The following is a 22,343-nucleotide window of genomic DNA, read 5'->3' as shown; positions in this document are numbered from 1 at the left end:
CTAGCAAGTCCAAGGGCACCTGGGCCCCTTGTTAAAGGGGCAATGGGCCGAAACAGGTGCTACTCAAGATCCGACTTGCGGTGAGATGGGAGGCTGCCTCCGTCTGAGAGAAGCCCTGGCATTCTCCTCTGACCAGCGACAATCTCCCTCTTCCCCTGAGGTAGACAATGACAAAGCTCAACAGGGCTGGGCAAACCCTCCAGTCCAAAGAAATCAATCAATACACAAACACTTTATTACTTCATGAATAACTGCAACATCATTGTTCACAAAGGAACCCATTCCACTAAAATAGATGCATTGAGTGGAAGGAGGAAGAGGCTCAGAAAAAAAAAAATACTAAGCCGGGCGGTGGCTCATGTCTGTAATCCCAGCACTTTGGGAGCCTAAGGCGGGTGGATCACTTGAGGTCAGTAGTTTGAGACCAACCTGGCCAAAATGACGAAACCCCATCTCTACCACGGTAGCTCACACCTTAATCCCAGCACTCTGGGAGACCGAGGCGGGCGGATCACCTGAGCTCAGGTGTTCGAGGCCAGCCTGGCCAACATGGAGAAAGCCTATCTCTACTAAAAATCACAAAAATTAGCTGGGCGTGGTGGCGGGGCACCTGTAATCCCAGCTACTGGGGAGGCTGAAGCAGGAGAATCGCTTGAACCCAGGAGGCGGAAGTTGCAGTGAGCCGGGATCGTGCCACTGCACTCCAGCCTGGATGACAGAGTGAGACTTCGTCTCAAAAAAAAAAAAAAAAAAAGTTGAGCCTGGTGATCCACGCCTGTAATCCCAGCTACTCACGAGGCTGAGGGAAGAGAATCGCTTGAACCCGGGAGGCAGAGGTTGCAGTGAGCGGAGATAGCACCACTGCACTTCAGTCTGGGCGACAGAGTGAGGTTCTGTCTCAAAAAAAAAAACAAAGACAAAGAAAAAAGAAAATAAAATACTGGGTACTAGGCTTATACCTAGGTGATGAAATAATCTACAACAAACGAGTTTACTTATATAACAAACCTGCACATGTACCTCTGAACTAAAACATTTACAAAAAAATAGACGCATCGAGAAAAGGCAAGGGCTTTGGAGTCTGGCAGATGAGAACTTGCATCTGAGCTCCACTATTCTCCCACTAACATAGGTAAACATCTGGCTCCTGCAAAGAACGCCAGACATGTTCATCCCTGCCGGCTCTGTGTAACTGACCTGAAATTCTCCACCTGGGAAAATCTGTTTTGTGCCCCCAGGGAGAAGGAAAGTCTAGCCTCTTCCTCATAAGGAAGTTGTGGGGAAAAGAGAGATCAGATTGTTACTGTGTCTATGCAGAAAAGGAAGACGCAAGAAACTCCATTTTGATCTATACTAAGAAAAATTGTTTCTGCTTTGAGATGCTGTTAACCTGTAACTGTAGCCCCAACCCTATGCTCACAGAAACATGTGCTGTATTGAATCAAGGTTTAATGGATTCAGGGCCGTGCAGGATGTGCCTTGTTAACAATATGTTTGCAGGCAGTATGCTTGGTAAAAGTCATCGCCATTCTCCATTCTCGATTAACCAGGGACACCATGCACTGCAGAAGGCTGCAGGGACCTCTGCCCAAGAAAGCCTGGGTATTGTCCAAGGTTTCCCCCCACTGAGACAGCCTGAGATATGGCCTCCTGGGAAGGGAAAGACCTGACCGTGCCCCAGCCAGACACCCGTAAAGGGTCTGTACTGAGAAGTAGTGAAAGAGAGGGGGCCTCTTTGCAGTTGAGATAAGAGGAAGCCTTCTGTCTCCTGCTCATCCCTGGGAATGGAATGTCTCGGTGTAAAGCAGACCAATCCCATTCGTTCTATTCTGAGATAGGAGAAAACCGCCCTGTGGCTGTAGGCGATATGCTGGCAGCAATACTGCTCTGTTACTCTTTGCTACACTGAGATGTCTGAGTAAAGGGAAACATAAACTTAGCCTATGTGCACATCAGGGCACAGTACCTTTCCTTGAACTTATTCATGATACAGATTCCTTTGCTCACATGTTTCCCTGCTGACCTTCTCCCCACCTGTTGCCCTGCTACACTCCCCTCGCCAAGATAGTAAAAATAATGATCAATACTGAGGGAACTCAGAGACGGCCACCAGTGCGGGTCCTTCGTATGCTGAGTGCCAGTCCCCTGGGCCCACTGTTCTTTATACTTTGTGTCTTATTTCTTTTCTCAGTATCTCCTCCCACCTGACGAGAAACACCCACAGGTGTGGAGGGGCTGGCCCCCTTCAGAAGTCTTTCAAATACTTCCAGACAGGGGTCAAGTGTGCCCAGTCCTGCCATGTCTGGGTTAAACATCCCCAATTCTTCAACCATGCCTCCTGTGACTTATTTCCTGACCCTTCACCCGCTCACTCACTCTCCCCAAATTCACCGCAGGCCCTGTTCATGAAGATTCGGATGGAGCCACAGACCCAACGCATACGAGGTCCTCAGGGAGTCTGTGTCCCACACTGGGGGCTAGGAGCGGTCCCCGGGTGCTCACTGGCGGCGCCTCCACCGCGGACCTGCCCCAGCCCCGCATCCACGCGCGGGGTGGGGTGGGCCGCCCACTTCTCCCGCGCCCTCAACCCACAGGGAAACGGGCTGCGCGCCCGGGCCGCCCCGCAGAGTCCAGATGCCTAAATCCCTCCTAGTCTGTTTCCTCATCTGCGGCCTGCACGCCCGCCGCAGCCACACCCAACGCCGGGACGCGCAAAAACACCTGCCGGGCCTATTTCCTCTCGGGTATTATTTACAGCCGCTCCCAGGCCTTCTCGGAAAACATCCTTTGCCGGAAACACAACCCCAGGTCCCCAGAGCGTAGGGGGCCCAGCGCCGGATCCACGCGGAGCTCACGAGCCGGACAGTCGCCGCAGAGCAGGCTGGGGCCGCGCGGCGCACGCCGGGAGGGCGCGCGACAGCACGTGAACGCGGCGTGCCGCACGGCCCGGGAAGGGCGGGGTGCGCGCTGACCGGCTCGTGCGCCGCAGGCAGCAGCCAATCCGCGCGGACCACCCCCAGGCCCCGCCCCCGCCGGTCCCGCCACGCCCCCGTCGGGCCCGCAGCTGCTCCCGGGGCCCGGGACCCAGCTGGCTTAGGCGCCCGAGGTGCACCTGGGAGGAAGCAGGCGCGGGGTGCAATGGAGGGTGGAGGCGCGCACCGTGCCCAGAGCGGGGCTCCCGGGAGCTGATGTCCCGTCTGGCCCCCCTACCTCCCAGCTGGGTCCCCACCTACCCGCCCTGTCTTACCGCCCTCAGCACAGGGACCTGCCTCTGTCCCCACGACGCCAGGCTCCAGGTGTATCTAGGACTAAAGAGTTGACATCCAGTCTATATAGGGTTGTGGGGGGTTACCTTAAAAGTTCCTTTTTGTTATTAAAAAAAGTAATATACACTTGTGCAGTGATTGAGAACAATAGAGGGAGGGAACATAAAATATTCGTGATGGAGTTCCCTTCCAGACTTCCCGTCTCTGGAGATATTTTCTTAAGCCCCAGGAGGCTTGGTCTTGGCCCCCACCTCTGCATTGAATGTCTGATCTCCCTCAACTCGGTGTCATCACACATGGGATAGGGGTCAGAGGTTATCACGAGGAATTTTATGTTGCTAATGAGTACAGCCAGTAGCAAAGGAGATTCAAGATGAAGACAACATTCCTGGGGAAAACACAGAAAGCAAATGAAAGATACAATTATGGGACGGGGGAAGGAGAGGAAGAACTCTGTGCTGCTGGACTGGAATAACTGATCCGTTTGAATTTACAATTTTAAAATGTTTCCCAGCTCCATCCATGAAAAACGCCCTGGAAACACGGACACTCCGGTAGCAAGAAGAGGCACACAAAAGCCCAGATCCAGCCTTCTAAGGACCATCCTCCACTGAAAGTACCCAGGGATCCTTGGAGGAGTGGCTGCTCCCAAGGCCGAGACTGGGAAGGACACAAGGAGCCTGGAACAGGAGTTAAGACAGAGCTCAAAAGCTGAAGGGGGCGTGTCAAGGACACAGCAGCCAGCCTGAAAGGGTTCTCACCCAAACTGGGAGTGGCTTGAGCATCAATTGAGTATGTCAGGAATGGATTCTAACACATGCAGTCATAATTTTAAAAATCCCGGAGTCCACATTGGTACTATTACTACTATTAATAATGATGATGAAATTAAAGCTAGTAAAAGGGAGGATGGGCAGGAAAGAGCTTCTTTACAAAAGAATGCCAACTAATAAATGTGGAAAGAATGACAAAAATGGTAAATAGCCATTTTACGGACACTCTGATAAGTGTTTCACTCAAGAATCATCAATAGATGCTAAAGCTATGAAATAAAAGATTATTCCTTGTATATACACACCCCAAAGAATTGAAAGCAAGGTTTCAAAGAGATGTTTGTAGACCCATGTTCGCAGCAGCATTATTGACAACAGCCAGAAGGTAGAGTAATCCATGTGTCCAACAACAGATGAATGGATACACAAAATGTGACTAAACACACAGAACATTACTCCGCCTCCAAAAAGATGGAAATTCTGACCCATGCTACAACGTGGATGAGCCGTGAGCACTTGATGCTAAGTGAAATAGGCCAGGCACAAACAGACAAATGTTGTAAGATTCCACTCACATGAGTTCCCTAGAATAGTCAGATTCAGAGACAGAAAGAATGGTGGCTGCCAGGAGCTGGGGATTGTGAAGAATGAGAGTTATTGTTTAATGGGTGCAGAGTTTCAGTCTTGCAGGATGAAAAAGTTCTAGAGATGGTTGGTGGTGATGGTTGTACAACACTGAATATATTTAACACCACTGAGCTGTATACTTAAAAATGTTGAAGATGGTAAATTATAAGTGTATTTACCACAATTAAAAATGTTTACATTAGAAATTAAAGGCCACCCTGGGCAACATAGTGAAACCCTGTTTCTACAAAATTAAAAATTAAAAAATTAGCCAGGCATGGTGGCACCCTCCTGTAATCCCACCCACTCGGGAGGCTGAGGTGGGAGGATCGCTTGAGCCCAGGAATTCTAGACAACAGCAAGTCCTGATGGCACCACTGCACTCCAGCCTGGGTGACAAAGTGAGATTCTCTCTCTCTCTCTCTCTCTATATATATATATGTGTGTGTGTGTATATATATGTGTGTGTGTATATATATATGTGTGTGTGTATATATATACATATGTGTGTATATATATACATATGTGTGTATATATCTATGACTCAAGGACATGACAAAATGAAATAAAATAATTTTTTAAATTTTTTATAAAGATTATTGGGAACAGGATATTTTATTCACACTTTGTGAGTGACTGCAAAGGATCCCTCCACAGATAACTTTTTAGTTACAAATGGGAAAAGTTACCTTTACAAATGATCCAAACAAATGGGATCCTCATATTGCTGGTAAAGAGTCACCCTATCACTGCTCCAGGCAGGGGGAACTTGCAGAGGCCCTGAGTCGTAAGTCTTGAGTGTTTGAGCAACAGAAAGAAGAGGCCAAATGAGGTCAGGCGCCGTGGCTCACACCTGTAATTCCAGCACTTTGGGAGGACAAGGCAGGTGAACCATCTGAGGTCAGGAGTTCAAGACCAGCCTGCCCAACATGGTGAAACCCCGTCTCTACTAAAAATACAAAAAGTAGCTGGGCATGGTGGCAGGCACCTGTAGTCCCAGCTACTCGGGAGTCTGAGGCAGGAGAATTGCTTGAACCCGAGAAGCGGAGGTTGCAGTGAGCCAAGATCACACCATTCCACTCCAGCCTGGGCTTCAAGAGTGAAACTCTATCTCAAAAAAATAAAAAAATAAATTAAAAAAATTTAAAAAAAGGCCAAATGCATCAAGGTTGGGAGATGACTGGAGAAGTGACCTGTCATTTCTCTTTTAACTTCTCATTTTGACGTAATTTCAAATTTAGAAAATTTTTAAGTAGTACAAAGAATCTCCATATATCTTCACTAGTTATTAACATTTTACCATATTTACCATATTTGCTTCATCCTCTTTTTTTTTTTTTTTTTTTTTGAGACAGAGTCTTGCTCTTGTCGCCCAGGCTGGAATGCAATGGCGAGATCTCAGCTCACTGCAGCCTCCACCTCCCGGGTTCAAGCAATTCTCCTGCCTCAGCCTCCTGAGTAGCTGGGATTACAGGTGCGTGCCACCATGCCCAGCTAATTTTTTTGTATTTTTAGTATACAGTGTTTCACTGTGTTTGCCAGGCTGGTCTCGAACTCCTGACTTCAGGTCATCTGCCTGCCTCAGCCTCCCAAAGTGCTGGGATTACAGGCGTGAGCCACCGCACCCAGGAAACTGCTGATCTTGTAACAGGTCAAAAGGGAACTCTTCATTCTTTCTTGCTTTCTGGACCTCAGGTAGAGAGGGTGGGAGCAATCACAGTCCTCGCCTCATCTCAGGCTCTCATCACTGATCCCTGAATGGCCCTCTTTTGTATTTGTTTGTTTAATATAACAGACAACTATGACCCCATCAGCCAATTGACATCTCAATTATTGACATTAAGTGACATGTATTTGTATATTCCCCCATCCTCTGCTTCTGCCTCCCTTCAAATGGAAGTAACCATTATCCTGAATCTTGTAAAAATACATAGTTTTATTATGTATATATTCCTAAAAAGCATTGTTTAGTTTTAGTTGTTTTAATTTTATTTTAAAAAGTATCGTAGGCCGGGCATGGTAGCTCATGCCTGTAATCTCAGCACTTTGAGAGGCTCAGGCGGGAGGATTGCTTGAGTCTAGGAGTTCAAGACCAGCCTGGGCAAGATGGCAAGACCTCGTCTCTATTAAAAAAAAAAACAATAGCCAGGCATGGTGGCACACACCTAAAGTCATAGCAACTGGGGAGGCTGAGGTGGGGGGATTGCTTGAGCCTGGCAGGTCAAAGCTGCAGTGAGTCACTGCACTCCAGCCTAGGTGACAATCCGAGACCCTGTTTCAATAAGTAAATAAATAAAAAGTACCTTACCATATGTAATGATTTTGATGTTTTTGGTTTTTGGTTTTTTGGTGTTTTGTTTTTTTTTTTTTTCCTCAGACGGAGTTTCACTCTTGTTGCCCAGGCTGGAGTGCAATGGTGTAATCTCGGCTCACCGCAACCTCCTCCTCCCGGGTTCAAGCGATTCTCCTGTCTCAGCCTCCCGGGTAACTGGGATTACAGGCATGCACCACCACACCCAGCTAATTTTTTTGTATTTTTAGTAGAGACGGGTTTCTTGACAGCTGGTCTCAAACTCCCCATCTCAGGTGATCCCCCCGCCTCAGCCTCCCAAAGTGCTGGGATTACAGGTGTGAGCCACCATGCCTGGTGCTTTTTTTTGTTTTTTTTAATTAAGACAGAGTCTCGCTCTGTTACCCAGGTTGGAGTGCAGTGGCGCGATCTCCTCTCACTGCAACCTCCACCTCCCTTGTTCAAGCGATTCTCCCTTCTCAGCCTCCCAAGTAGCTGGGATTACAGGTGCCCACCGCCACGCCTGGCTAATTTTTGTATTTCTAGTAGAAACAGGGTTTCACCATGTTGGGCAGGCTGATCTCGAACTCCTGACCTCAAGGGATCTGCCTACCTCCGTCTCTCAAAGTGCTGGGATTACAAGTGAGAGCCACAGCGCCTGGCCTGTTTTGGGATTTTTTAATAGTCATCAACAATATTGAGAGTTGCTGTCTATTTGAGTGTAGCTTATTTATAATATTGCCTTGTGTGAATATACTAAGAATAATTTATCCTCCTGTCAAAGTGCATTTGTGCTGTGTAAAGGTTTTTCTATGAGAGTGCTGCTATGAACATGATTGTGTGAACATCAGCAATACTAGGAACGGTATTGCTGGTTTCGAGTAGGTGAATTTCTTTTTTTTTTTTTGAGATGGAGTCTTGCTTTGTCACCCAGGCTAGAGAGCAGTGGCGCTGCGATTTCAGCTCACTGCAGCCTCCGCCTCTTAGGTTCAAGCGATTCTCTTGCCTCAGTCTCTGGAGTAGCTGGGACTACAGGTGTATGCCATCATGCCTGGCTGACTTTTTGTATTTTTAGTAGAGATGGGGTTTCACCATGTCGACCAGGCTGGTCTTGAACTCCTGACCTCAGGTGATCCGCCTGCCTAGGCCTCCCAAAGTGCTAGGATTACAGGCGTGAGCTACCGCACCTAGCCGAAGTATGTGAATTTCAACTTTACACCAAAGAAAAGACCAAACTGCCTCCAAGGCATTTGTACCACTTATCGGCCCACCAGCAATGTGTGAGGGGCTTTTGTGGTCCACATTCTGTCAACACTGAAAGCCATCAGGCTTCCTCATTTCTACCGGGCACACAGAGTGAAACGTGTCTTCATTTTGGTCTCAATCTGCATTTTCCTGATCACTAAAGAGGTGAAGTTTCTTTATTTCCTTTTGTTACACACTGCCTGACTTTTATTTTATTTTATCTTATTTATTTATTTATTTTTAAGATGGAGTCTTGCTCTGTCCCCCCAGGCTGGAGTGCAGTGGCGCAATCTCGGCTCACTGCAAGCTCTGCCTCCCGGGTTCACACCATTCTCCTGCCTCAGCCTCCCAAGTAGCTGGGACCACAGGCGCCCGCCACCACGCCCGGCTAATTTTTTTTTTTTATTTTTAGTAGAGGCAGGGTTTCACCATGTTAGCCAGGATGGTCTCGATCTCCTGACCTCGTGATCCACCCGTCTCGACTTCCCAAAGTGCTGGGATTACAGGCATGAACCACCGCGCCCAGCCACACTGCCTGACTTTTAAAAGGCTTTACCCGTCATTCAGTTATTTCTCACAGAAGCCAGAGAAAAGAACACAACCACAGAGAAACAATGGACTGCCTGCTTATTCAGTCAAGTCGGTTTTTCCATAACGTGGATTGGGATTTACTGTCAGGCCATGTGTTACATATTACTCATTCAAAAATGAATTTTCAAAAGTTTTAGAAGGTTAAGAAATCCATTTCCTATAAAGCAGTCATGATAACATGACCTTTTGCTTCACTGAAATCATAAGTGAAAAAGCCTTTCTATAATCCAGGATTTGAACAACAGATGATTTCAGCTTGAAGTGGGTTCCCTTTGTCATACCCCATTTATAAACAGGACCCGGGAAATGGGGTGACAATAGCAGACGAGATTCTTGGAGGACCACATGCTGACTCATTTATTATAAACAGATGACGTTCAACTTCTAGAATGTTTTCACCAAAGACACAACTATTGGCTGGGCGCCGTGGCTCATGCCTGTAATCCCAGCACTTTGGGAGGCCGAGGCGGGCGGATCACGAGGTCAGGAGATCGAGACCATCCTGGCTAACACGGTGAAACCCCGCCTCTACTAAAAATACAAAAAATTAGCTGGGCGGGGCGGCGGGCGCCTGTAGTCCCAGCTACTCGGGAGGCTGAGGCAGGAGAATGGCGTGAACCCAGGAGGTGGAGCTTGCAGTGAGCCGAGATCGCGCCACTGCACTCCAGCCTGGGCAACAGAGCGAGACTCCGTCTCAAAAAAAAAAAGAAGACACAACTATTTACAGATTCAGACACCTTTGTTGTTACTATGAGGCAGCAAGTTGATGACAAAATCCTTGTTTCCATTTTCTAATAAGCCTGGCAGAATTGCTTTTTAAAATTTTTTATCATTTATTTTTATTTTTTTCAGATGGAGTCTCGCTCTGTGGCCCAGGCTGGAGTGCAGTGGCACCATCTCGGCTCACTGCAACCTCTACTTCTTAGGATCAAGCGATTCTCCTGCCTCAGCCTCCCAAGTAGCTGGGATGACAGGTGCCTGCCACCACGCCCAGCTAATTTTTGTATTTTTAGTAGAGAAGAGGGTTTGCCATGTTGCCCAGGCTGGCCTTGAACTCCTGTCCTCAGGTGATCCACCTGCCTCAGCCTCCCAAAGTGCTGGGATTACAGGCGTGAGTCACCACGCCCAGCCCAGATACTTTAAAAAGAGAATTTGGGCCAGGCACAGTGGCTCACAACTCTAATCCCAGCACTTTGGGAGGCCAAGGTGGGCGGATCACGAGGTCAGGGATTCGAGACCAGCCTGGCCAACATGGCGAAACCCCATCTCTACTAAAAATACAAAAATTAGCCGGGCATGGTGGTGGTGGGAGGCTGAGGCAGGAGAATCACTTAAAATCTGGGAGGCAGAGGTTGCAGTGAGCCGAGATTGTGCCACTGCACATCAGCCTGGGCCGCAGAGCGAGACTCCATCTCAAAAAAGATAAATAAAAAGTAATTAATTAATTAATTAATTTAATTTAAAGTGAATTTGCTCTTCTTTGGAGGCTGGACGTGATGACACATGCCTATAATCCCAGCACTTTGGGAGGCCAAGGTGGGAGGATCATTTGAGCCCACGAGTTGGACACCAGCCTGGGCAACACAAGGAGACTTTGTCTCCACAAAAAGTTTGAAAAAAAAAGCAGACTGTGGTGGCGCACACCTGCGGTCCCAGCTACTCAGGATGCTGAAGCAAGAGGATTGCTTGAGCCTGGGAGGTGGAGGTTGCAGTGAGCCATGATCGTGCCACTGCACTCCAGCCTGGGAGACAGATCACAACCCTGCCTCTAAAAATACACACACACACACACACACACACACACACACACATATATATGTACATATATATAATATCTCTTCTTTGGGAGCTAAACAATGGGTAACACACAGACACACAGGATGGAATAATAGACATTGGAGACTCCAAAAGTTGGGAGGATGGCAGCGGGGGTGAGGGTTGAAAAACTGCCTATTGGGTAGGATGTTCGCTATGTGCATGTAGAACATATCTCCTAAACATAAAAACATTTTAAGAAAGAAAAATATCTTCCAAAGTTTCAAGCCAGTAGCCCAGGGCCATAAAGCCTACTTTCTTATTCTTTCTTTCCATGTTCAAACACGAATGAGGTTTTTAAATCTGTTTTTCTAAAATGAGGCCATCTAACTTTCAACAAGCCTGTGGCACGAGGGTTAGCTGGAGGTAGGGGTGACCTGACTGTCGAGGTTGAAACCGGGGAAATATGGACAAACCAGGACAAGCCAGTATCCTGATTTGGAAGTGAACCCGGTCAGCAGGTGCCTGGGTGGGGTCTGTCCAGGAAGTCTTCCTGGAGTGGGGGTCCATGCTTCCCCCTTACAGTGGAGCCCTTGACATTTATGGAAACGGAGGAAGGACAGACATTTGGTTGGTAATTGTGTAGTATTTACACGGAAACCCTGGGAAAGTGAAAAAACTCGGCCAGGTGCGGTGGCTCACGCCTGTAATCCCAGCACTTTGGGAGGCTGAGACGGGCGGATCACGAGGTCAGGAGATCGAGACCATCCTGGCTAACATGGTGAAACCCCGTCTCTATGAAAAATACAAAAAAAATTAGCCGGGCGTGGTGGTGGGCGCCTGTGGTCTCAGCTACTCGGGAGGCTGAGGCAGGAGAATGGCATGAACCCGGGAGGCGGAGCTTGCAGTGAGCCGAGATCGCGCCACTGCCCTCCAGCCTGGGCGACAGAGCGGGACTCCGTCTCAAAAAAAAAAAAAAAGAAAAAAACTCGTAAGTGCTTTTCTCCCAGCTTGGAAGAGAGCATGCTCAGTGCCCGGAGTAAACCCCTCAGAACCTTTCGGAATTCTTTGCCAGTGGCAGTAAGCATCAGCCCCCATTGTCCAAGTCATTTGCTTCTTGAAATGGCTCTGTCTGATGACTGACCTGGGGCACAGTGGACTTTTCTGGAAGGCTGCTTACTGGGTCCCATCCTTTTGAACCACAGACAGAAACAGAGCTGCTCATGGAGGTCACCATGACCTCCTACGGGCCACTCACAGCCTCTACCAAGGACAGGGCCTAGAGGAGGTGCAGCTGCTGTGGCAGTGCGGGCTCCCCGCAGCTCACTACAACCCAGGCCTCGACCGCCTCGGCCACCTGGCTCCCAGCGTCTCCCCAGATCAGACAGAAGGCAGCTGGGGGAGCTACCCATGATTCACTCTCTCTCACCCCACAGCAAATCCATCAAATCCCGCCGCCTCTGCCTCCTAAATATATTCAGAATCCAGCCACCCCCAACACCACCCTGATCGCAGCCACCTGCAGCAGGCCCAGAGACTCCCACCTGGTCTCCTGCCTCCCCCGCCACCCCACAGTCTGCTCTCAGGATAGTAGCCACCCGTGGCGGAGACGTTTTATGGTGTCACGTTAATTCAGCCCACCAGGCGCGGTGGCTCGCGCCTATGATCCCAGCACTTTGGAAGGCCGAGGCGGGCAAATCACTTGAACTCAGGAGTTCAAGACCAGCCTGACCAACGTGGTGAAATTCCGTCTCTACTAAAAATACAAAAAAATTAGCTGGACGCGGTAGCATGCACCTGTAATCCCAGCTGCCCTGGAGGCTGAGGCAGGAGGATCGCTTGAACTCGAGAGGCAGAGGTTGCAGTGAGCCGAGAACGCGCCACTGCACTCCAGCCTGGCCAACAGAGTGGGACCCTGCCTCAAAAAAAAAAAAAAATTAATTCAGCCCACACCTCCACCAAAACCCTCCCAGGCCTTCCTGTCTCCAGCTGAGAGGCCAAACAAGGCCCTACCATGGGAGATGAGGACGTGCTGAGCCGCCACTCCCTTCCTAAGCCTGTGTCCACCTGGCTTCCACCCTCTCACCCTGCAGAAGCGGTGCTGGCCCGCAGGTTCCTCCTGCACTCAGCCGCTCTGGCCACAGGACCTTTGCCTCGCACTTCCCTATTTGGACATGCTCCTGAGCTAATGGTACTGTCTGCTGCCTCACTCCCCTCAGGCTGTCTCACTCCCCTCAGTCTTGGTCCAAATGTCCCCTGGAGTGACCATCCTGTGTGCAACCACAATCCTCCCTCCCGGTCCCTGACTCCCTCTCCCCTCTCTTTTTTTTTTTAGATGGAGTCTCGCTCTGTCTCCCAGGCTGGCGTGCAGTGGCGCGATCTCAGCTCACTGCAACCTCACCTCCCAGGTTCAAGCAATTCTCCTGCCTCAGCCTCCTGAGTAGCTGGGATTACAGGCACCTGCCTCCACACCCAGCTAATTTTTGTATTTTCAGTAGAGACAGGGGTTTCACCATGTTGTACAGGCTGGTCTCGAACTCCTGACCCCAACTGATCCGCCTGCCTCGGCCTCCCAAAATGCTGGGATTAGAGGTGTGAGCCACCTCGCCCAGCCCCTCCCCCTCCTCTTTCCTGAGTTATTTTCTTCTTGGCATTCACATCCATTGACACATGCAGCGTTCACCTGCTCACCAACCCAGGGAGGTCACCATGACCTCCTACCAGCCACTCAAAGCATCTACCAAGGACCAAGCCACACAGGCTTACCCCATTCACATGTAAGCTCCATGGCCGAGGTTTGTCTGTTTTGTTCACTGCCGCAGCCTCTGCACTTACATCCGCCCCTGGCCTACTGGGCACTGCTGAAAGGACCGAAGAGCTTATGGAAGTGACTTCAGTTGCATCATAAATGAGGGTAGGCACCCGCAGGACAGGGCAGCCCATCGGCCTTTCAATTACATTTCTTGCTTTTCTCTGTTCTTATTTCTTTCTTTCTTTCTTTCTTTCTTTTTTCTGAGACAGAGTCTCGCTGTGTCTCCCAGGCTGGAGTGCAGTGGCATGATCTTGGCTCAATGCCTTCCAGTTCAAGCAATTCTCCTGCCTTAGCCTCCCGAGTAGCTGGGATTACAGACACCCACCACCATGCACAGCTAATTTTTTTGTATTTTTAGTAGAGATGGGGTTTCACCATGTTGATCAAGCTGGTCTCGAACTTCTGAGCTCAGGTGATCTGCCCACCTCAGCCTCCCAAAGTGCTGGGATTACAGGCGTGAGCCACCGTGCCCAGCCTCTTCTTCCTTTTTTTAAAGACAAGGTCTCTTTCTGTTGCCCGGGCTGGAGTGCAGCGGTACGATCAAGGCTCACTGCAGCCTCAACTTCCCAGGCTCAGGCAATCCTCCCACCTCAGCCTCCCAAGTAGCTGGCACTACAGGCACATGCCTCCACACCTAGCTAATTTTTTAATTTTTTATTTGTAGGGACAGGATCTCACTATGTTGCCCAGGCTGGTCTCACTCTCCTGGGCTCAAGCAATCCTCCCACCTCAGCCTCCCAAGTAGCTGGGGCTGCAGGTGTGTGCCACTGCACCTGGCATACATTTCTCGCTTTTCTACTGAATTTCCTCAGCTACCAGATCCGCAGCCCTCCTCTATTCATGGGTTCGGAATGTTCCTCGTGCAAACGTCCCAGAGAGATTTAGCCCTTGCAGGTGGCTAGTTATCGTGATGCCTTCCACCCTCCTACCAGACGCTTCCTCCCCTGCTGCCTGGCTTGGGGAGCCTCCATGGAGGCTCAGAGGCTCCACAGCAGTGTGGACGGGTAAAGCCTCCAGCAAGGCTTCTGCCTCACTTGGACCACCTAGAACTTGCCGCAGGACCTGAATCACACTGGAGACCGGCTGCAGGAACTGTTCCAGGCATCAGTTCCCACTGCAGAGCCTGGGAAGGGAGCTGTCCGGCTCCCCAGGCTCTGCAGTGGGAGGTGATGCCCGGAACAGGCATCTCAAAAGTGTGGGTCACCACCCATTAGTGGCCTTGAAATCAATTTACTGGAATAAGACCAGAATCTTTCTTAATGAAATGGAACAGACTAGAAAACATCAGCATGTACAGTATTGTCTGAGGTGAAGTATTGTTTCAGGACATTTTTTGTCTAGGCATCAAGGCAGAAACTATCAAATCAGAATTTCTGGGGCATCAGGTTTTTTTTTTTTTTAGCTCCCCAGTTAATTCTAATGTGAAGCCAGGAACAGGAGCTGCAGGAGGGCGGTTCTGTCCTTCCGAGAAACAAGGCGTCCCCACCACGGCTGTGAGCCAGTGCCTGCCGCCCGACAGCCACAGCACTGTGGCACTGAGGACCAGCTTTCCCTGAAGTCCGCCTGCATCAAACAGGTCTACCCCATGCCTAGGCAAGACCTTCCTCTTTCTCACTTCCTTTTGAAAGTCCACACTTCTCAGGGAGCGGGGAGGGTACCCTCCCGACTTCCCGTTTGCCCCTGCCTGCCTGATTGGATCTTTCTCCACTGCTGTGGCTGGACAAGCCTCTGGGACGACTTCAGCAGCCTCAGGAGAGGACTTCCAGAATCTGATCGCCAGGGGTCAGTATCTCAAGCAGACAGTCACGACAGCAGACCAACTCCACCCTAAGAAAGCACAGTTGTCAGTCACCCCTCAAACAGAGGTAGCACCCCAGTGTCCTCACCAATGCAAGGGGCCACAGCCTCTGGGAAATCTGCTTCTTGCTTCTCTGGCCGAGGACTGGGGCATACAGGACCTCACTTTCTGACAAGTGAGTGTTGAAGCCCAGGCCAGGGGGAAGTGTGTTTTTGAACTGTCATGTCAGAGCACCTTCCGGAGCTACAGCTGGAAAGGCTGCTTGCGGAAGTGCCAGGACGACCAAACCCCGCTGCTCTTCAGACACCTTGTGGCTGCCCCAACCAGAACCTTGGATGCTCCTGGGGCCACGCCCCCTAGCTCAGACCCGCACACAAGATACCACCAAGACTCATACACACTGCCAGTGGGGAGCTACGGTAAGTGGGATGGTGTTCCACAGACTGGGGCTCCCTCCCTGTGTCCGTCTCCCTGCTGTCCTGGTCCACCGTCTCAACCGCCCAGCTGGAAATCTTGGAACTCTTCCCCTGCCGTCATGAATGATAGGCAATTTTTGCTTTTTGTTGTTGTTGTTCTGAGACTGAGTTTGGCTCTGTCGCCCAGGCCAGGGTGCAGTGGCAGGATCTTGGCTCACTGCAATCTCCGCCCCCCCAGGTTCAAGCGGTTCTCCTGCCTCAGCCTCCGGAATAGCTGAAATTACAGGTGCCCGCCACCATACCTGGCTAATTGTTCATACTTTTAGTAGAGACGGGGTTTCACCATGTTGGTCAGGCTGGTCTCAAACTCCTGACGTCAAGTGATCCACTCGCCTCGGCCTCCCGAAGAGCTGGGATTACAGGCGTGAGCCACCACGCACAGCCTGGGTATTGTCTTTATTTTAAATTACGCATGGGGAAATGCCATCATCTTTCAGCATTTAGGGTTTATAAGGATTTATTATTATTGTTATTTTTGAGACAGTCTCGCTCTGTCGCCCCGGCTGGAGTGCAGTGGCCACGATTTCAGCTCACCACAACCTCCGCCTCCTAGGTTCAAGTGATTCTCGTGCCTCAGTCTCCTGAGTAGCTGGGATTACAGGCGCCCACCACCACGCCCAGTTAATTTTTGTATTTTTAGTAGAGACAGGGTTTCACCATGTTGGTCAGGCTGGTCTCGAACGCCTGGTCTGAAGTAATCCTCTGACCTTACTCAGCCGTCCAACGTGCTGGGTTACAGGCATGAGCCACCGTGCCTGGCCTATAAGGATCTTAATGTGGCTCTGCAACTACTCATTCCAAAAGAAAATGACAGATTAACCAAGTAGAAGAATTTATGAAACACTTGCTACCACCAGGTCCAATATAAGCATGAGGTATAGACCGTAACTCAAATAGCTCTCCAAGTTACCATGCAGAAAGCATTCTGAGAACAAATGAGTGTTCCGGTCTGGTTATGGGACAAGATATGCCTGCAAGAGGTGCTATGTGCATAGAATCAATGGAAAAGGTGACAGAAAAGGCATGAACTTAAAAGGCGTGAAGAGACATCCAAACCCCAAGTTTATTGCAGCGCTATTCACAACGGCCAAGACATGGAATCAACCTAGGTGTCCAACAACAGATGAATGGATACAGAAAATGTACATATACAACATGGAATACTACTCAGCCATAAAAAAGAGTGAAATCCTTGGGATGGAACTGGAGGATATTATAGTAAGGTCACACAGTGCATTTTGAGAGCTTGTTTGGAGGTTCTAGCAGGGGAGTGCAGCTACTCGTGTACCCTTGACTGAAGATGAGTCCTCCTCTATTGGGGATGGTCATCCTCTTGGACCGAGCACACAGCTTTGGGAGGGACGCACATGGAGTGGTGAGGGAGGAAGGGGACACCCACCTAGCCAGCCAGATCAGCCAAATCAACCCTGACGATTACTGGGGTGACAGATGTCACAGCCAGATTGCCCTCACATCCCACACAGTGCATTTTGTATCTTTTTTTTTTTTTTTTGAGAGGGAGTCTCACTCTGTCGCCCAGGCTGGAGTGCAGTGGCACGATCTCGGCTCACTGCAACCTCTGCCTCCTGGGTTCAAGTGATTCTCCTGCCTCAGCTCCCCAGGTAGCTGGAATTACAGGCGCCCACCCCCACCCCTGGCTAATTTTTGGATTTTTAGTAGAGACAGGGTTTCACCATGTTGGCCAGCCTGGTCTCGAACTCCTGACCTCAGGTGATCCACCCGCCTTGGCCTCCCAAGTGCTGGGATTATAGGCATGAGCCACCGCACCCGGCCTTATTGTTATTTATTATTAGAACTTTCACCTGCTATTCCCTTGTCCCTCTGAAGGTGGAACGTACAAAAATCCTTGGAACACTGCTGTCTGAAGACATTGTTATAGGATTCTAGACTTGAAAAGGACCTCAACGATTTATTCAAGACCACAGTCTCTTAGAGCCACGCCTCCATCACCTGAGATGAGTCACCGTCTACACCATCTGTCTTATTTATTTCTCTTTAGAGAGACAGGGTCTTGCTCTGTCACTCAGGCTGGAGTGCAGTGGTGTGATCGTAGCTCACTGCAGCCTTGAACTCCTGGGCTCAAGCAATCCTCCCATCTCAGACTCCAGAGTAGCTGGGACTACAAGTTCACGCCACCACCCCCAGCTGATTTTTAATTTTTTTGGTAGAGAGAGGGTCTCGCTATGTTGTCTAGCCTGGTCTCAAATTCCTGGCCTTAAGTGATCCTCCCACCTCGGCCTCCCAAAGTGCTGGGATTACAGGCATGAGCCACCACACTGGCCCATCTATTCGATTTCTAAGGAGAGAAGTTCTTGCAGAGGAAGAACTGCCCCAGCGTCCCTCCATTGTGGTTCCCAAAGTTAGTCATGATATGCATGACTTTCCTCTCCGTGTCCAGCTGAAGTGCTTCCTGCCTCCTTTTCGTCTCATGAATTTCTTTTATGTTTCACGTCAAGATACTAACTTCTCCTTCTTCTAGACAGATTGGCCAAAGACTCAGACCTTCCTCCCACTCTAACCACCGTCACCCTGGAGACCCACAGGAAGAGCTGTGAGCCCTGAAGGCAATGCTTGCACCATCCTTCCCCCACCTGGGCCAGGACTGCCACTGTCAGCTGCTGCTCCAGCCTCACGCTGAGCATAGGGGACATGGCCCAGATGCAGCCACCACCCACTTGATATGGTTCCTGCCTGCCACGTGCCATACCACTGCGGTCCATGTTGGACAGGTGCAATATGAGGTCTAAGTCCCTCTGGCTCCATTCTAGCCAGCACCATGGCACCAACCTAACCACAGCCTGTGTGACAGTCCAGGAGGTCAACCAGTGCCACACCCTCTCCATGCGGAGTTCAGCCTCCTCAGGTGGGGCTTCCTACTGAGAACTGCTCTACATTTGGACTTCTGACTCCCCTCCCTGGCACTTGCTGGAGAGCACAGGAGGTGGGCTCCAGGGAGGAGACACCATGTCTTGCTGTTCAGCTGGTACCTAGCGTGTGCTGGTGCATAGCAAGTGCCCAATCTAGAGAATGAATGAATGCCGTGGTACACAACCACTCATCTTTCCCATAACTACATTCAGTAGCTGTCCACTAGTTCCTCCCATAAGTGAGGGACAGGACCAGCACCTAAGATCTTTGGTTGCTTCTCTGTTGTACCCTGAAGACCCTCTCTCCTCCAAAAGGGAAATCCACCCAGCTCTGTGTCCCAGCAGACTCCCCTGTATGGACCACCCCGTCAGGCTCCCCTGTATGGACCACCCCATCAGGATCCCCTGTATGGACCACCCCGTCAGGTCCCCTGTATGGACCACCCCGTCAGGCTCCCCGGCCCTCTGGCTGCCAAAGCCATGAGATCAGAGGGAGGAAGGAGTGAGGTCTAGGTTGAGGATTCTCCCAGCTCCCTCTCTGCAGGCTACACACTGCCCGCCCCCTCCAACAGAGGCCACAGTCCCTGTCAGGCTGTCCCTAGTTTTGGCTCTGCCACTTGACATTTTAAACCTCAAGGTGCTAATGCCCAGGGCTCTGCACTATCCCTTACGGTTTTCCTATCTCCTACCCAAATCTCCCCATCATTAAACTCCTCGACTTGCCTGGTACCCGCTGGGCCCCTGACGGAGCTGATCCCAAAGTCTGAAGCTTGTCAAGAGGCAGAAGCACAGCCTGGGGAGGGAATCCACAGTTGTCCCTGCTCAGCTTCCAGCCCGCAGAGGATGGACGCCTTCTCCGGATGGCTTCTCTTGGTTTTGGGAGCAGGGCGGCAAAGTCTTTTCATTTCCCAATTTTTAAATTACTTTTCTGAATAGTTAACACATTCAGATCGCTCAAAGGTCAAAAAATACAGAAGAGTAGCTGCACTGGCGTCTCCTGCACCTCCGTCAGTGCAGGGTTGACGTGCCGTGCTGTCCCTCACAGGAGGACCTTGTCCCCTCCAGGCAGCTTCAGACCACGGCTCAGCACCAAACCCAGCCGCGGCCTGGCTCCCTGCAGTTCCCACTTGCTGTGCTTACTTCTAAGTGAGAGGTCCCACCTGCAACTGGGGAAGCTCTGCCTCGATAAAGCCTCCAAGAGCCTGTGCCCTGGCTCACACCAGGGTGACCGGGAAACGCAGACAGCACTTATGCCAAGCAACAGTTTCTTACACTCTGGGACCTCCAGGAAGTAGCATCTGCCAAATGCAAGGATAACATTTTCCTCTTCATGCAGCAAGGTCTCTTCAGATTAAACAATGATAATAACCAAAAAACCAAAGCTTACCTTGGTTGGCAGTTTGCAAATGTTTTGTCCTGTGTGATCTAATAATGCACTAAAATACGCTGTCATAAAGCAAAATCTTCATATGCAAACAATACATTAGCAGCTTGGCTATTTAATACTTTGCCGCATAAGGCTCTCTACTGAGCGCACAAGTAAACAGAAGTCTGTCCCTTTTAGGAGTTTCCCAACCAGAGCCTACATCGACAAAAGTGGGCAGAAGCGATGAAGTCAGAGATAAATGATTGTCCCCTGCAGTTAATGAGTAGGGGGGGAGGGACACTCTGAGAGCCTCCAGAGAACCCACAGAGTCAAGGTGGCCGAATCATACCTGGATTAATGGAGACACCGAAGACAGTGGCCTTGGGACTAAACGTGTCCAGCTGACAGAGGAGTGGCAGAGCCCCTGCTTGCTGGCTGTCACCTTCCTTCTGGCCACCCTCCCCCATCTCTCTACCCCAACGGGACAGGAGAGTCAGCAGCCACCCCCTTCACCGCCAGGAGCCCACGCTGATACCTAGGCACCCTCTGTTTGAAAAACAAGTCCGGTACAGCCTCCAGGCAACCGTAGCATCACGCTGGCCGTGCCTCTGAGTTATGAGAGAAGAGAGGCAGATGGGTGGGTGCGGGAAGGGAGAGACGGCACAGCACAGGCCCAGTGCCAGGGGAGGCCAGGCTCCCCCCACACACACCCCCAGTCCTCAACGTCCTTAGTGTGCCCAGGTCGCAGTGGGGGAGTCTCGGGTGTTGAGTGACAATCATCACCAGAACTCAACCCCTCCCAACCCAAACAGACGGCGCAGGAGTCACACAACTCTGATTTGAAAGTCAAATCGAGGCCCCCCTCCCCACACTTCTGCAGCTCCCACTTCTCTCCCGGGTCTTTGAGCTGAGAGGGGCCCAGGGCTCTGGGCAGTGCTGGGCCTCCAACCACCCGGCCTGTAAACCGGGGTCCGGTGCGCTGGGACCCCCCGGTGCGGGTAGGAACACCAGGTAGCCGGGCCTTTCTGGCACGCAGGGCGGAAAAGGCGGAGGGCAGCCCCTGCAGGAGGGGCCGGGCCGCGCTCATCAGCGGGCCTGAGTTTGCTTTTCTGGGGACGGCTCCCATCCTCACGCGGCCGTCCCTAGCCATCTGTCGGTTTTGCCCAGGAGGCAACTGGGGCTGGGGGCTGAAATGACTGCCCGGGGGTCAGAGGGCGGGAGGGGCAAAGGTGGGACTCAGGCCAGAGCTGCCCACCTCCCGCGCCGCGCTGCCCCTCTCCGTGCCCCCGAGCCCACCAATCCCGCCCTCAGGACCCCGGGCCCCGCCGCCCTCCGGGTCTCTCCGGGTCCGGAGCCCTGGTATATCTGCGGCCCGGGGCTGGAGCGCAGCGGGAAGCGGGAATTCGCTGCAAGTGCCGCCCCCGGCTCGGGCACGTGGTGGCGGCCGGAGTCGCCAGAGGGGACGCGCGGGTCTGGAGGAGGTAGCGCGGGTCTGGAGGCACAATGCGGGGCTGCAGAGGAGACGCGGGGCCGGAAAGGAGACGCGAGGCCGGAAAGGAGACGCGAGGCCGGAGGGGGACGCGTGGGGCCGGAGGGGACACGCAGGACCGGAGGAGACAGTGCGGATCTGGAGGGACACGCGGGTCCGGGGCGCAGCGCAGGGCGGAGGGGACAAGGCGGAGCGCGTCTCGCTTGGCCCCGGGCGGCACCGCCGCAGCCCGGGTGCACAGTGCTTCCGCGCCTGGCGAGGACCCAAGGCTCGGGTACCCACAGGCGGCCGCTCAGGTCCCCGCGCGCGCTGGGGGCGTGGGCCGCGTCACCGGGACTCCTACCTTTCCTGAAGGGCATCGCGCCGGGGGCGCTCCCCGCGGGGCCGGCCCGCGACACCCAGACAGGACGACGTCCAAGCGGCAGCCCCGCGACTCGGGGCGCCTGCGGGCGGCGGGGCGGGCGAGGGAGGGGAAAGGGACATATTTGGTCAAAGCCTGGCGCGTCACGGCGCGGAGGAGGATCCGCGGCGAGGCAGGAAGCGCGGGGCGGCGCCAGCCGTGAGCTCCGGGCGCCCTCGGGCTGCTGGGGGAAGCCGGGGCGTGGGCCGGGCCGCCCTGTCCCGCCCAGATCCCCCCGGTCCCGCAGGGGCGGCCCGCAGCCCCCCAGACGCGGAACTTGCCGGCCTTGAAGCTGCCGCCTGTCTTGTGGACTCCACGGGACAGGGGAAAACTGGTCCGGGAAGAAACCAACTCCCTTTTCTCTTTCGGGCTGTTCCGAGCCATCCTTCCCGAAGGACGAGACCTGAGGGAATTCCATCTTATTTTTACTTTTATGTCCTACGGGCACAGGGGACACGCTCGAATCACCAGCTGACTCAAATTGAACAAACTGAAATTGTGTAATTTTTTCTTTCTCTTTTTTTTTTTTGTTTGTTGTTTTGGGGGGTGTGTGTGTGTGTGTGTGTG

At 51.7% G+C, this 22,343-nt stretch overlaps 1 protein-coding gene, 2 non-coding genes and 1 pseudogene across 10 annotated transcripts in view, besides 11 other annotated features; 1 reads left to right on the top strand and 3 right to left on the bottom strand.

The window, feature by feature from the left end:
• Positions 1-21,812, bottom strand: part of PFKFB3 (6-phosphofructo-2-kinase/fructose-2,6-biphosphatase 3) — a 181,717-nt gene extending 159,905 nt beyond the window's left edge. For 7 of the 8 annotated variants that reach the window (NR_136554.2, XM_047425341.1, NM_001323016.2 and 4 more), the window contains exon 1: positions 21,720-21,812. Coding sequence is in view for 7 of the 8 variants with exons in the window: in XM_047425341.1 (XP_047281297.1) it covers positions 21,720-21,735 (16 nt within the window). In the remaining variant the exon portion in view is untranslated. Of the gene's footprint in view, positions 1-20,236; positions 20,486-21,719 lie in introns of those variants that run through there. The other variant, NM_001282630.3, reaches the window with a different exon arrangement.
• Positions 92-591: an enhancer, noted in NCBI's record as "H3K4me1 hESC enhancer chr10:6208105-6208604 (GRCh37/hg19 assembly coordinates)". NCBI's record gives its function as "activates a minimal SCP1, AML or CMV promoter by ChIP-STARR-seq in naive H9 embryonic stem cells {active_cell/tissue: H9 hESC(naive)}" and the evidence as "EXISTENCE:reporter gene assay evidence [ECO:0000049][PMID:30033119]".
• Positions 2,311-2,420: an enhancer, noted in NCBI's record as "active region_2962". NCBI's record gives its function as "activates an Ori minimal core promoter by ATAC-STARR-seq in GM12878 lymphoblastoid cells {active_cell/tissue: GM12878}" and the evidence as "EXISTENCE:reporter gene assay evidence [ECO:0000049][PMID:35858748]".
• Positions 2,831-3,310: a silencer, noted in NCBI's record as "silent region_2101". NCBI's record gives its function as "represses an Ori minimal core promoter by ATAC-STARR-seq in GM12878 lymphoblastoid cells {active_cell/tissue: GM12878}" and the evidence as "EXISTENCE:reporter gene assay evidence [ECO:0000049][PMID:35858748]".
• Positions 14,456-14,537, bottom strand: MIR3155A (microRNA 3155a). The gene has a single exon (NR_036111.1). It is a non-coding gene; the product is annotated as a microRNA 3155a (primary transcript).
• MIR3155B (microRNA 3155b) lies at positions 14,471-14,526 on the top strand. The gene has a single exon (NR_039698.2). It is a non-coding gene; the product is annotated as a microRNA 3155b (primary transcript).
• Positions 15,118-15,167: an enhancer, noted in NCBI's record as "active region_2961". NCBI's record gives its function as "activates an Ori minimal core promoter by ATAC-STARR-seq in GM12878 lymphoblastoid cells {active_cell/tissue: GM12878}" and the evidence as "EXISTENCE:reporter gene assay evidence [ECO:0000049][PMID:35858748]".
• Positions 16,860-17,110, bottom strand: RN7SKP78 (RN7SK pseudogene 78; annotated as a pseudogene).
• Positions 17,977-18,026: an enhancer, noted in NCBI's record as "active region_2960". NCBI's record gives its function as "activates an Ori minimal core promoter by ATAC-STARR-seq in GM12878 lymphoblastoid cells {active_cell/tissue: GM12878}" and the evidence as "EXISTENCE:reporter gene assay evidence [ECO:0000049][PMID:35858748]".
• Positions 21,341-21,490: an enhancer, noted in NCBI's record as "active region_2959". NCBI's record gives its function as "activates an Ori minimal core promoter by ATAC-STARR-seq in GM12878 lymphoblastoid cells {active_cell/tissue: GM12878}" and the evidence as "EXISTENCE:reporter gene assay evidence [ECO:0000049][PMID:35858748]".
• Positions 21,530-22,030: a transcriptional cis regulatory region, noted in NCBI's record as "chr10:6186666-6187166 region (GRCh37/hg19 assembly coordinates) targeted for CRISPR interference". NCBI's record gives its function as "positively regulates PFKFB3 gene expression in THP-1 monocytic cells {active_cell/tissue: THP-1}" and the evidence as "EXISTENCE:mutant phenotype evidence [ECO:0000015][PMID:33828297]".
• Positions 21,530-22,100: a biological region, named in NCBI's record as "CRISPRi-FlowFISH-validated PFKFB3 regulatory elements GRCh37_chr10:6186610-6187110 and GRCh37_chr10:6186666-6187166". NCBI's record gives its function as "regulatory_interactions: PFKFB3".
• Positions 21,551-22,100: a silencer, noted in NCBI's record as "silent region_2100". NCBI's record gives its function as "represses an Ori minimal core promoter by ATAC-STARR-seq in GM12878 lymphoblastoid cells {active_cell/tissue: GM12878}" and the evidence as "EXISTENCE:reporter gene assay evidence [ECO:0000049][PMID:35858748]".
• Positions 21,586-22,086: a transcriptional cis regulatory region, noted in NCBI's record as "chr10:6186610-6187110 region (GRCh37/hg19 assembly coordinates) targeted for CRISPR interference". NCBI's record gives its function as "positively regulates PFKFB3 gene expression in Jurkat T cells {active_cell/tissue: Jurkat}" and the evidence as "EXISTENCE:mutant phenotype evidence [ECO:0000015][PMID:33828297]".
• Positions 22,191-22,310: an enhancer, noted in NCBI's record as "active region_2958". NCBI's record gives its function as "activates an Ori minimal core promoter by ATAC-STARR-seq in GM12878 lymphoblastoid cells {active_cell/tissue: GM12878}" and the evidence as "EXISTENCE:reporter gene assay evidence [ECO:0000049][PMID:35858748]".

The sequence above is a fragment of the Homo sapiens genome, chromosome 10, assembly GCF_000001405.40.
Source record: "Homo sapiens chromosome 10, GRCh38.p14 Primary Assembly".
Classification (NCBI taxonomy): Eukaryota; Metazoa; Chordata; class Mammalia; order Primates; family Hominidae; genus Homo; species Homo sapiens.
This window is presented reverse-complemented; position numbering and strand designations above follow the sequence as displayed.